Source organism: Homo sapiens, chromosome 2 (genome assembly GCF_000001405.40).
Source record: "Homo sapiens chromosome 2, GRCh38.p14 Primary Assembly".
Taxonomy (NCBI): domain Eukaryota; kingdom Metazoa; phylum Chordata; class Mammalia; order Primates; family Hominidae; genus Homo; species Homo sapiens.
The window spans coordinates 54431890-54445172 of NC_000002.12; the positions used below are offsets into that span (position 1 = coordinate 54431890).

General features: G+C 40.6%; 1 long non-coding RNA gene across 2 annotated transcripts; it reads left to right on the forward strand.

Annotated features, from left to right (window-relative positions):
- Positions 1–474: 474 nt before the first annotated feature.
- LOC102724072 (uncharacterized) lies at positions 475–12986 on the forward strand. Of its 2 annotated transcripts, none has more exons than XR_001739475.2 (4): positions 475–1058; positions 1936–2091; positions 3542–3616; positions 3704–8010. It is a non-coding gene; the product is annotated as an uncharacterized LOC102724072 (long non-coding RNA). The 2 variants fall into 2 exon arrangements; XR_940094.3 differs by lacking the exon at positions 475–1058 and adding an exon at positions 12244–12986 and having other exon boundaries at positions 2053–2091; positions 3704–4030.
- Positions 12987–13283: the final 297 nt, after the last annotated feature.

The window sequence follows — 13283 nt, forward strand, 5'->3', positions numbered from 1 at the left end:
ACTCGGTTTCCTCATCTGCAAAATAAGGACACTAACAGTAATAGTTATTGTGAGAAATTAAAGTGTAATAAGTTGTAATTATTGTTGTGTGCCCTTGGGTAAGTTACTTAATCTCCCTAGTGCCTCAGTTTTCTCATCCGTCAAATGTAAGGGTAGTAGTATACCTGTCTCTAAGGATTGTTATCAATTAATGTATGTAAGAGCCTTTGAACAGTGTCTGGCACATAGTAAATGCTATGGAAATGTTCCTTGTTGTTGTTATTGTCCGATATCTATGGACACTACTACCACCCGGCTGACTGGACTAAAGGAAACAGCATATGTAGCATGTAGGTCACAGCGAGGCACACCTCTGCCACATTTCTGAGCTTATTTGAGATTTGTCTCATACTCCAGACTCATCCTGTGATTACAAAACCCCTACCAGGCTTCTTAGGAAGGATAGAGTCTGTTCCTGCTTCCAACTGTGACTGTGTCTTTAGCCAAGTGTAATCTGATGAATACAAACTAAGAGTTCTGTCCTGGGTTAACCCTCATTCTTTTCTGTAAAAGGCTTTCAGATCCACTCAGAAAGGTGCAAAACAAATCTTACATCTCTGGGCAGAGACATGGTGGTGGCAGAGAGCAAGGAATGGGGGAGGGATGTTGGCCCATCTCCTGAGAGCCACTGATTGCCACTCCTCACTGTGGAAGAGCTTCTGCAGCCCTGCGCATTGGCAGGCTCTCAGGGCTGGGTTGGGTTTAGGAATTAACTTGAAGTGTTAATTTTGTAAATATCTAGACAGGGTTGATCCTCCACAAGAGGAGAGTTGATCACACAGAAAGACCTAAAAGCCTTAGAGAGCTACAAAAGTGTTTCCCAACTGCAAGCCCCATTTATTTCTACTACACGACACGACCTCTGTGGATCAGCAGCTGTTTCCTTTGCTCAGCAACTGAACAGCCCATTCCCTCTTTGTTTCAACTTTGCAGGGGATCACCAATGGGGAGCTGAGATACTAAAGCTCTCCATGGGAATGAAAGTTAAGAAGGGCACCAGGGAGGCCACTGGCACACAGGTGAGCATCAAGCCTCCTGACCCCGACCTTCCATAGCATCCTCTTCTCAAGGACCCATTGCAGGCAGGTTCTCCCTGTGTCCCCGTGCCCTATGGACACATTTTATTTTAGGAATATTCTCCTCCTTATTCACATTAGGGCACCAGTAAGAGGAGCATACAGTATTATATCTCTCTCAAATATTTTTATTTAAAAAATGCTGAAGAAAGCCCTAAGCCAAAGAAAATTAGAATCTACCTGTGCGATTTCAGACAACAGTCAGAAGTTGGAGAGGATTTTTGTCAGGGTGTGGTCCTAAGGAATGACAGGCCCTTTACAAAGTCCCTCTCATCTCAGAATCCATTTATTCAACCTAAATGTTTCCTTCCAATGCTTTCATGTATGATGTTAGGGATCTGCGTGTTCATAGGCTTCACTGCAGTTTGGGGCCGGCTACACAGCCATTCCCTGGGGCCCACGACCAGTGACTACTAAATCCCTGTGCCATGGTTTCCATCGAAGTTTTTGCTTCGGAGTTCTCTTTTCCTCGTGGCCAAAGCTTCAAGGCCTGTGCACAGTCATAAAATGGTGCCCTGACCACCTTTCATTTGCATTTTGTGGTTTTGACCACATATGTGCACTCATATACCATAGGAATGGGATTATTTTTACATGTAGAAAAATGCCAGAGTGAGGAAAAGCAGCGCCACAGTGTTGCCAATGAGGGTACACCTGCTTTGACTGGCTTGAGCTGTGCCTTTGTTTTTAAGGTCATATTTGATGCAGGACATAAATACATAAGTTGGTTTGTATGCTTTACTGAACAAGCCCAGAAATAAGTTATCAACATCCTTGTGACATTTTTTTCTTTATTTCTTTTTTTTTTTTTCTGAGACAGGGTCTCCGTCTGTAACCCGGGCTGGAGTGCAGTGGCGCGAACACGGCTCACTGCAGACTCGACCTCCTGGGATGGGATCTCATCATGTTGCCCAGCCTGGTCTCCAATTCCTGGACTCCTCCCACTTTGGCCTCCCAAAGTGCTGGGATTATAGGTGTAAGCCACCTCACCCACCCATGACATTGCTTAAAGAAAGTAGTTGTTATGTGTGACTGGTAACCATTTTTTCAAGAGTTAAACATCTGAGCTATCTAAATTCCACTGCAAAGTATGAAAAGCAAATTAAGTAATCATGACACAATCACTCAAATCAGAAGAATGAGGAGTGCAGTAGGTTTTTTTTTTTTTAAACGGGTGTGGGTAGGGAAACATCAAACCTGATGGTCAAAATTCAGTCAAAATCTCCAGCCATTGAACGTTTTTAGGAGATCAGTGATACCGCATACAGGTGATTGGTTGGGATGATTATCCTTGTGGTACAATCGAATTAACATGTATTTGGTTGCCGACTGTTTGCTGGGTAGGACAGAGTGAGTATGGAAGTCTGGGGTGTGGGGAGGGCATTCTAAGTATGTGCTCTGGGTGTGTCCATGAAGCAGAGCTGTTTGTCTCAACTTTCTGTTCATGAAGCCTGGTTAGTTGGACAGCTGCTGAGGGGTTGAACCAAAGGGTATGACAGTCAATATGTTTCATCTATGAGACCTAATTTCAATGAATGTTTCAGTGGTATAAGAAGCCATATTCTATGCCAGGTCTCCTCTGCTCAGAAGAAAACAGAGATATTGTTAGTTTATTTCCCATGAAGGAAAAGTTTTGATTCCACCTTGAATGTACTTTTGTTTGTTTGTGGAGCTGTTTCCTGTTTTCTCTTATCAAAATATTTCAGCTGTAGCTTAACAAATTGAGAGGGTATAGGAGCTTCTGTCCCAACCAAGTCAGATGAGCATGCTTAATCACAGCTTTGAAGCAGATCCACTATTTTAGCGAATAGAACACTTTTTTAAAAAAGGGAAAAATATTTTTATTCCATTGAGTATCTTTGATTGGAAAAAAATGCACATGGAATGAATAGCAAGGAAGAAGCAAAGTTAATATAGCTCTATTATGTAACAACCAAAACAGTTGCCATGTAACATTTCTATGTTTCCTTTTATAAATAATATACATGGTGTTTTTTCTTTGAATATGCATTTATACCTAAGTCCAGCAGCAGCCAAGCCTTCAAGCCCTAAGGCAGGTCATCGATTTTGGCCCTTTTAAAGAGATTTTACATATCTCTGCTCAGTGCCATTATGTGTTGATTTCATAGTTTAACGGTTACAGAGTGTGTCTATTTCTCTAATTCCCGTTTAGTGTCTGTGTGCATATATTTCTCTATTTCCTATTTCTTCGCTTTGTTAGGGGCTCAGGGTGGATAGTTTACTTTTACCCTCACGGACCACCTGTACATGTGAAATCAAATTCTGAGAAAATATATTCTAGCTCCTCCAAAGCTACATATGAAAATGTTTTATTATTGGAAACTGAATATATTTCAGTTTTCTAGCAAATATAGCTTTGGGGGCTTGAAAGTTGAGGTCTTTTTTCCTCCTGTTTCTTTCTACAGAGCAGTCAATAGTATTGAACAAGAAAAAGCTGCATGACTTTTAGACCAGAGGAGTGAGGACAGCACTTAGAGGAGGTAAGAGAGTTCATCACGCGTTCTACATTGAGCTGACAGCAATGTACCTAGTGCATCCAATTAACTAATCTTTAATTTTTGTACCAGGCACACAGCCAACACGTCCAGTTAACCAGGATAAATGATTTAAAAGAACTTTGTAAAAATGCTGAACATAATTTGCTATCACCAAATATAGGAATCTCTGAAGCCAGCTGTCTTGCTCATATGAAATGCAATGACAAGATCCAAATTGTGAGAAAAGGAATCCAACTTGGTTGGAACAGGAAAGAAACAAAAACAAAGAACCTCTGGCCCAGAGTCATTTCTGTTTGGAAAAATTTCTGAAGATTAAACTTAGGCCCTGAGTGCACCTAACAGTGCAATCTGCAGGCTGCCAACGCGTAGCCGTGGAACTAAATCCAGCAGCTCAAGGTGAGAGAAAATTAAGTGGATAGAGTCTACCTCCTTAAGATACTCTTCTTATCAGAGCTTCCTGAGACCTTCCAGAGTGATGAGTTCCAAATTACGTACAGCCATAGGAAAATAAATATTTGGCCAGCTGTAGACATTGGATTTACTTATCTGTAGCCTATTTCTAGCTTCAGAACAATTTCTACTTCTACCTTATAATCCACCACAGCCCAGGAGTTTAAGGATCTTTTATTAAAGTATCTTCACGTAGTTTATTTTTTGAAACAAAAATTACCACTAAGAAAATATTTTTTAAAAATACTCTCCAATTATACATAGTGTACATGTGTATGTGTATAAATACATAACATATATTTTACTTTCACACAGAGGTTAAAATCAAGTCAGTGCCCTGGTCTACTCCCTATGTGGAAAGTTCAGAGAGAAGGGTCTGAACATGGCTTTTTCCTAAGTTTGTTATATTCCTTGGAACATGTTTCACAGGATGTTACTTAGGGCTCCAATTGACTGGACAAAATAATCATTACACATACAGAAAAGAAATTACTAATTTCTTTAATATAAAAATGTATCTTACAAATCAATAAGAAAAGATAACTCTATAGGAAAATAGGCAAAGGAAATATCCAGGCAGTTCAGGAAGAGGAACAAAAAGCAGGAAATCAACATGTGAAAACATACTCCACCTTGCTTGTAGTTTAAAAATTCAAATTCAAATGATGATGAGACAGAAATTTTCACTTCCAGTTGGTACAGATTTTTTCTTTTTTTTTAAGACAGAGTCTCCCTCAGTCACCCAGGCTGGAGTGCAGCAGCCTAGGATCTTGGCTTACTGCAACCTCCATCTCCCAGGTTCAAGCAATTCTCCTGCCTCAGCCTCCTGAGTAGCTGCGACTATAGGCACCCCCCACCATGCCCAGCTAATTTTTGTATATTTTCAGTAGCGATGGGGTTTCACCATGTTGGCCAGGGTGGTCTCGAGCTCCTGACTTCAGGTGATCCATCCACCTGGGCGTCCCAAAGTGCTGGGATTACCAGTGTGAGCCACCGCACTCAGTCAGATTTTTAAAAGAGGTAAAACCAGGATAAGATATGAGAAAACAGTCGTTTCATACATTGTTCATAAGTGTATAAATTGATATAATGTTTTGTGTTGGCAATGTTGCAATACTTATTAAAATTGAACCCCACATTTTACTTCTACTGTAGAAGTAATTATAGTAGTAACCTATAGAAAACATTCCCCTAAGTACACAAAGACAAATGTACATGAATGATGTACATAGTTCCTAACAGCTAAACACTGGAAACAAACCTCTGAAAAGAATTTGGTAGATCTATATGTACTTACACAGAAAGGGTTCCAAGATACAGCAACATGTAAAAAGAGCAAGTTATAAAAATGATTTAGAAAATGATTCAATTTTTGTTATATGCAGAGGAAAAAAAATCTAGTGTCATATAGACTAAAATATAAATACTAGCTATTTCTGGGGGTTGGCATTTTGGAGTACCTTCCATTTCTATCTCATGTTATTTCTGTAATATTTGATCATATACTAAGGGTAAAAGAAAAACAATTTAAAAAATAACAGTATGAACATCACTTACATAGCTTTCTTGCCAACCCCCAGAAATAGCTAGATTAGATTCAGGATCATGTTAAATCTGAAGCTAAACATGAGGAAACAACAATCAGATAAATCCAGATTGTGTGAGATGCTGCAAGATAACTAACCTGGACTCCTAAAATGTGTCAATGTCATGAAAAATGAAAAGAGTCATGGAGACTGTTCTAGATTACAAACAACTAAAGAGACCTGACAATGAAACACAATATGTGATATCTGACTGGATTCTAAATTTAGACACACATGAAAAAACATTATAAAGGACCTTCATGGAACACAACTGCATGGGTGACTCTACATGACAGAATAGTATTTCTAGGATCATATTTTGGGAAATGCTGGGATAGAAAATGTCCCTTTAACTGAAGCTTATTGTGACCCTTCATGCTAGATGTTCCTATATTTTTTTTTCTTATTTAATCCTGGTAATTTACAGAAGAAGATGATGATTTTCTATCAAACTTAAACTCTAATTATTACTCTGATTGTTGAGAGATGCCAATATATTCATTTCTAGAATATCTTACCTGGTTTATAGATTTTTCAATTAGTGCTTAGATACCAACTGTAATTTATTATCAAGTTGGGGAATTTCTGAGCTGTAGGGGATCTTAGAGGAATTGTGGGATCAACCCTTATCATTTTACAGATGAGCAAAGGAACTCCGATGGGCTATGTGACTTACAGATATTTAATTAGGAGAACCGGCTTTGGAAACCTAGCCTCCAAATTCAGTAGTCTTACCATAAAACTATTATGATTTACTTACCCTTGCTGAATGCCAGCAGTGGACAAGGCATCATAACGGCCTGCCCTAAGGCACCCTTCTGCCGGAAAGAGGCTCAACACTTGAGGAGGAATTGCATGACAATCTTCAGGGAGCAAGAGCATCCAACTCCCCGCACTTCTAATCATGCAGGCAGTCTGCCGAGTCCACGTTGCACTAAGGCATGCCCTTTGCCTGACTTGTTTGTTACATAAGAAAGCACTAGGAGTTCGAGCCAATACTCTTTTTTCTTTAAAAAAAAAAAAAAAAGACAAAAGACAAAGCAAACTGACTGCTTATGGAAGATGGATCACAAAAGAGTCCTAAGTCCTTTCCTTATCCTCCTAATAAACGTTTCCCTCACAACATATTTCCAGTAGGCCTCAATCCATCTGGTAGAATGATGGGGGAGATTAAATCATTTGTTCTTTATAAAATGTGTGTAACACTTTCTCAACTACACTAAGACTCCAGATTTATACAACCCTCATTTTATATCTCCCTCTGAGAATAACCTCCTGATTTACAGGATTTAAAGAAGTCAAAAGCCCTTCTCCCTAAAGCAATTTTCTTCACTGGCTTATACCCATTCTTTTTTTAGATGGAGTCTCTCTCTGTTGCCCAGGCTGGAGTGCAGTGGTGTGATCTCAGCTCACTGCAACTTCTGCCTCCCAGGCTCAAGCAATTCTCCCTAATTTTTGTATTTTTAGTAAAGACCGGATTTCACTATGTTGGTCAGGCTGGTCTTGAACTCCTGACCTCAGGTAATTGGTCTGCTTCGGCCTCCCAAAACGCTGTGATTACAGGCATAAGCCACCATGCCTGTCCTTATACCCACTCTTTAGGAGGCCAATGGAATGCCCCCCAATGATGATAGTAAAAGGGTGACTTCCCTTGTTGAGGGGGTAGGACAGGCACAGGGCTCTTGAGAGCACAGAGAGCCACAAAGGTGACCAAGACCAAGGTTTGTAGAGGTAAGTCCAAGTCTAAATAGCTGGAAAAGCACATGCAACCTCAAATCTGGAGACTACCAAGATTGTGGTCGTGAATCGAGGGTTTGGAATTGAATGGAAATGGGTTGGCTGCACAGACAGGTCAGGGCCAGGCAAGACTGTCTTGGAAAATAGCCCCAGATTCTAGCTGGCATGTGTCGTTTGCCATGTGTGGTTGGCAGGGTCTTGTGTCTCGAATTGGCTGATGTGGCCAGGATCAGGTGGGACCAGAAGAGCCACTGCACGATCAGTGAACTACTGTTGAGATCTCCAGGGCCTGAGTTAGGGTCTGGAGTGAAAACTGGATCCCCACATTCAGGGGGTCAGCAGGGTGTGAGGTCAAAGGTAAACCCATTGTTGGTCTAATAATCAAATTTGACAAATCAAAAGAGGAGTAAGAATCCAAGCATGAAGCCACGGAGAGCAGGCAGCCCAGGCAGCCAACCTTAGAAGTGTGTAGTGCAGGGCTGGGGTGGAGAGGGGTTGGGAGGATGCCAGGCCCAAAGAGTAGATGGTACAGCCACTTTTCATCGTGTTCCTGCTGTTCCGAATGGGGACGTATCTGTGTCATTAAAATACCACTGGACATTTGTTTACTCTGTTTCTTTGCAATTAACTGAGAGTATGAAGTAGAAAGGAGAAGTTTGCTTATGGGGAGAGTATGTTTGTGTTGACAGGAAGTCCTATGGGAGCCCTTCAGAGTTTCAAACATGCAGTCATTTTTCTGTGCCGGGGCAGGAAGAAGCAGGGGATATGGCCGAAAGGACTGCTCCTTGATTAGCCATACTGAGTTCTCCAACTGACTAGTTGGAGATCCATGGATCAGATCAGGTGCTTGCAATTTGGAGAGGGTATGTAAAGTTCCTACACTCAAGTTCTAACAGCTCAGTTCAGACACATTTATGCTTAAGCCCCAAGGAAGGGAACCAGGAAGCCCGAGTACTAGAGAAGGCTATGTTCCCAGCATGAAAGCCTGAGAAGACTGAGTGCCAACAGCACAGGGAAGAAAGAGAGAGTGAACCCCAAGGGTGCTCCCAGGCCTACTCAGAGAAGAGGGTAGATGGTGGGGTCCAGCTCACAGGATGCCAGTGTGCCCCTCTTTACCCCAGCCTCAACCACAATAGCTCAGCTTTTGTCTGTGTCACATAATGGGTTCTCTGTAACTTTCAATCGGCTTTAGATCACTTGAAAATGACCACCCTGTACCAGCAATGCCAAATGCCATCCCCATCTTAGCTCTGAGTTGGTTGCCATGTCAGACCCTCTCCTCAAGGGATTTACAATCTCTCTGGAAAGCCCAGGTTTATGCAATGGCAAAAAGGAGACAACAATATAGGATGGGTCTTAAGTGAATGCTAAGTGATATGTTACAGGCTGCAAGTGACTCAGAGTTAACAGAAAAAAAGAGATCCATTGGTTGTGGGGTATGGCAGGATATGTCAAAAAGGAAAGAAATTTCTACAAAAAAAAAGTGGAACTTGAGCTGAGCCTTAAAAGGAGGAGAAGATTTGAAGAAATGGGGAGGGCATCCCAAGCTTTGGGAAGAGCATGAACAAAGGTGTACAGACAGGAATACTTAAGGCCAGTTTAGGAAACAGTAAATTTAAAAACATATGGATGATTGACAGCATATTCCATTTTTAAAATTACTTATTCAGACTCTATCCTGAGCAAGAACAATTTCCTGTGGTTTATAAATAGGCCCCAGTTATTTTAGTAGAACTGTAACACTGGTGATCATTCATGAAATGTTCCATGGAGACTTCAGTTTTCCAAGGGCCAGGAGAAAATGTATAAATGCGTAAGAAATGGTCCAGAACATGAAACACCATCGGTAAAACCTAATACAAGGTTGCTGCAGAAACTTTCTTTTCCTAACAAGGTACTTATCTCCTTCTCCCTTCTTCCCTCCTAGATTTGTTCCAGATTTACTATGCAAAATGCCTAAGGTTTTTGAAAGAACTAGAATAGAAATTGGGAGATAAAGAAATAGGCACAAGAGATGATGTCATTTGTTTAAGCTCACAGGGAAGGCAGTGCCAGGGTTGCAATTCAGGATGCCCATCTCAAGTTTCCTTTAACTGATGATCTTGAACACAGAATTCTACCCGCCTTCATAACCTAAGAAGCCATCAGCATTGTGCAGAATTCCAATTCCCTCAGTTCCTATGATGAGAACCTTCTCACCAGTCTGGTATGTTTCATAGGTTGGGGACCCCAATTGCCTATACTTGAGAAACATTCCAATGTATTTGTACATGTTATATGGTGTGCAAAAGAAAGAAAATACTTACATTGGTAGTTGTGTAGTTAATTAGAGTAACCTAATTAAGTTAACTTATATTTTGTTTTTGTTTGCAATCAACATCATTCTTAATTTTCCTGTAGAATACTGTTTTTGTGTTTTTTTTTTTTTTTTTTTTTTTTTTTTTTTTTTTTGAGATGGAGTCTCGCTCTGTCACCCAGGCTGGAGTGCAGTGGTGCAATCTTGGCTTACTGCAAGCTCCGCCTCCCGGGTTCACGCCATTCTCCTGCCTCAGCCTCCCGAGTAGCTGGGACTACAGGTGCCCGCCACCACGCCTGGCTAATTTTATGTATTTTTAGTAGAGACAGGGTTTCACTGTGTTAGCCAGGATGGTCTCCATCTCCTGACCTCGTGATCTGCCCGCTTTGGCCTCCCAAAGTGCTGGGATTACAGGCGTGAGCCACCGCGCCCGGCCACAATACTGTTCTATTTTCCAATCTGTTCTGCTGGCATTTGCATCACAATATAGTGTTCATTTTGGCCTAAGAGAGGTTATGAATGAACAAATCTATGTTATTTGTATTTTTCATTTGGGTTCCACTAACTATAGACTTAGGGCAAAAATGAACCCATGATTATCCTAACTATTCTACCTCTCAGTCTTAATTCAGTTGGTAAAAGAGGGAGCCTGAACTTTGCTCACAGCTTTGAGTGATTAAAATTAAATTTCAGTAGCAGCAGAAGCAAACTACCTTATTACAAAAACTTTCCTAGGAAAAATACCTAACAGTCAATCCTATCTTATATCTGAAGAGATCACCATTCAGTATCTCCAAAACTATGAAATAACACTACTAACTAGTGATTTTACATGTTTAGCAAGCATCTGGAGTTATATGTAAGCCTTTACCGAGATCCCAGCTATCTAAATAAAAATGGATGTTAAGCATCACTCTCATCCTTGCAACGAAGTCATTTTATGGTGTCATAAAACCACCAACAGCATTTCTGACTATTCCAATAATCATCCCAAGCACCTCAAAATTCTTAAAATACTGAAATTGAAAAGGAAACTCTACCCAACTTATCAAATGCAATAACAAATGTGCACAAAAATGTCATTTAGTAGGCAGAATTTGCAGCCAAAGAATATTATTTTCATACGGTGTTTAAGATTTGCAGAGTTCCTTTTTAGTGACAAAGGTCCTATTTGGTTCAGCCATGCCACATGTGTAAGTTTAACATTTCATGAGGATTTTCAGAGGAAGAGTGTGAAGGTATTCTTTTTGGCCAGACTGTCTTTTATAGTGATATGATAGCAACATTGGATTATATATTAAACCACCAGCTAATTAGAAGTTAGGTACACAGCCTAAGAAACCTAAGAAAGCATGTCCTATATATATTTTTTGGTTCTCAACATCCCAACATCTTTATCTCAGGTTATAAAAGAACTAGAATAGAAATTGGGAGATTTTTACATTAGACATAAAATTGGAGTTGAGTGCAATGTGTGCCCTATAGACCCAGCTACTAGAAAGACTGAGGTGGGAGTTATCACTCGAGGCCACGAGTTAGTTCAAGTCCAACCTGGACAATCTAGTGAGACCTCATCTCTGGAAAAAAAAAAAAAAAAAGGAAATCAAGTTTTTTTCATTTTGATACCAAAAAAAAAAAAAAAACCGAAAAGAAAAAACCCAAATGAATACGAACACACAAAGACAAAACAAAAAATACCACTTTTCTGAGACGTGGAAGTTTAGATAGCTTCCGTGCAGCCCTCAGGAAGTAAGATTCAACAGCCTTTCTGAATTTTAGCATTATGTATCTGTGAAGAGTGGCAACAGACACAGGTGATCAGGAAATACACCTTTCGCTTCTCTAGTATGGCCTCTTTAGGCCTTTCCAAACTGATAGCCCCTCTCAGCACGATTTCCGCTCAATGTGACATGCAAAGGACTTAGGAGGAGTGGGAGAGGAAGTTTAGTTTTGGAAACATGAGATGCTACATCTACCTCTCGGTTGATTTATGAAGCACAATAGCATATTAAAAGTACCTGAAGGCCTAACTTGGTTATCTTAGCATTTCCCAAGCTGAGTTGACCACAAAACCCCATCCCCCGCTAGGCTGGGCACGAGTATTCCATGGGCTACTTTGGGAAAACACTGTCTGTGCAAGAGCGCAGGCTTTTGATCAGACAGGGTACTCAACGCTTTCTTCACCACTTAAGAGCTTTGAGGCTTTGGACAAGTTACTTACTTCCTCTGAACCCTAGTTCTCTCATCTGAATTCTGTGGGAAATAACATCTATCACACATGATCTTTTGAAAACATAGTATGTACTTAAAAAATGTTTATCCCCTTCTTTCTTTTTACAACTCATGGTAGGAGAAACCTTTTTGTGTCTCCACATGAATTCCAAGATCCTCTCAAATATGATCATTTTCTTTCTCCAGTCTCATCTCCCGGTAACATGGAGAAGTGTTAATAGTATTTTAGATTCAGACTTCCTAAAATGTAACCTTACTAGCTGTGTGCCTTATGACCTAAGAAAATTCCTACCCTCTCTGTGCCTCAGAGTCCCCACCTGTAAAGTGGAGGATAATAATGGTACCTACATCGTGGGGTTGTGAAGATTAAAGAGTAACATTGAAGAAGCACTCAGAGTAACACTTGGCATTAGGTAAGTGATCAATAATCTCAGTGAAGTTACTAGTATTCTTATCTTCCAATCACATATTATGTACCAATCATACTCGACTCCTTGCTTCCCAAAGATGCCTGATGTTTTCGCATGTCCACGTCTTTGCTCTTGCTGGTCTCTTCATTTGGAATAACCTTCTTCCACGTTTTCTACTTGGTGAAATCCTATCCACCCTCCAAGGCCCATCTTGAATGCTACCTTCTCTATGCAGCCTTTCCAGATTTCCTCTAACCAAGTGTCTTCCTCCTTAAAAGAATCCCCTCTAGGCCTTGTGGCTCTCTCTTGACTCTTACCATGTTCTACTTTGTATCTAATGAGTTCTATGCTCCTGGAGGAGCCAGTGGTATTTATATACCCTCCCCACACCCTAGCACCCAGCAGTGTGATCCAGCAGGAACAATGTCAGCCTGGGAATCAGGAAGCCTGGGCTCTGGACCCAGGCCAACCACTCTGCAACTTGGGGAAGTCACTTCACAGGAACTTTGGTTTCTTCTTATTTAAACCAGTGAGTTGGAATAGACCAGCTCTAAAGCCACTTCCATCTCTACCCTGTGAAAGTTTAATATATACTCCGTGGGCAGCCACATACATGCCTATGGAATTTTGAGTGACTAGAAGGAACAAGGTTTGAGCCCAGAAATAACTGTTCAGAAACCCTTGATTGCTCTGTTTGTGAAAGCAGAAAACTGAAACAACCCAAATAAAGTATGTCATATGATGGAATACTATGCAGCTGTAATTTAAAAAAGGAAGCATATCATGTGCCGATAAGGAAAGATCCCAAGGGTGATTAAGTAAAAAGAACAAGGAGCAGATTAATATTTGTAGTATGCTGTCTGTTGTGTTAAAAAAAAAAAAAAAAAAAAAAAAAGGAGAGAAATGGCCAGGTGCGGTGGCTCAACGCCTGTAATCCC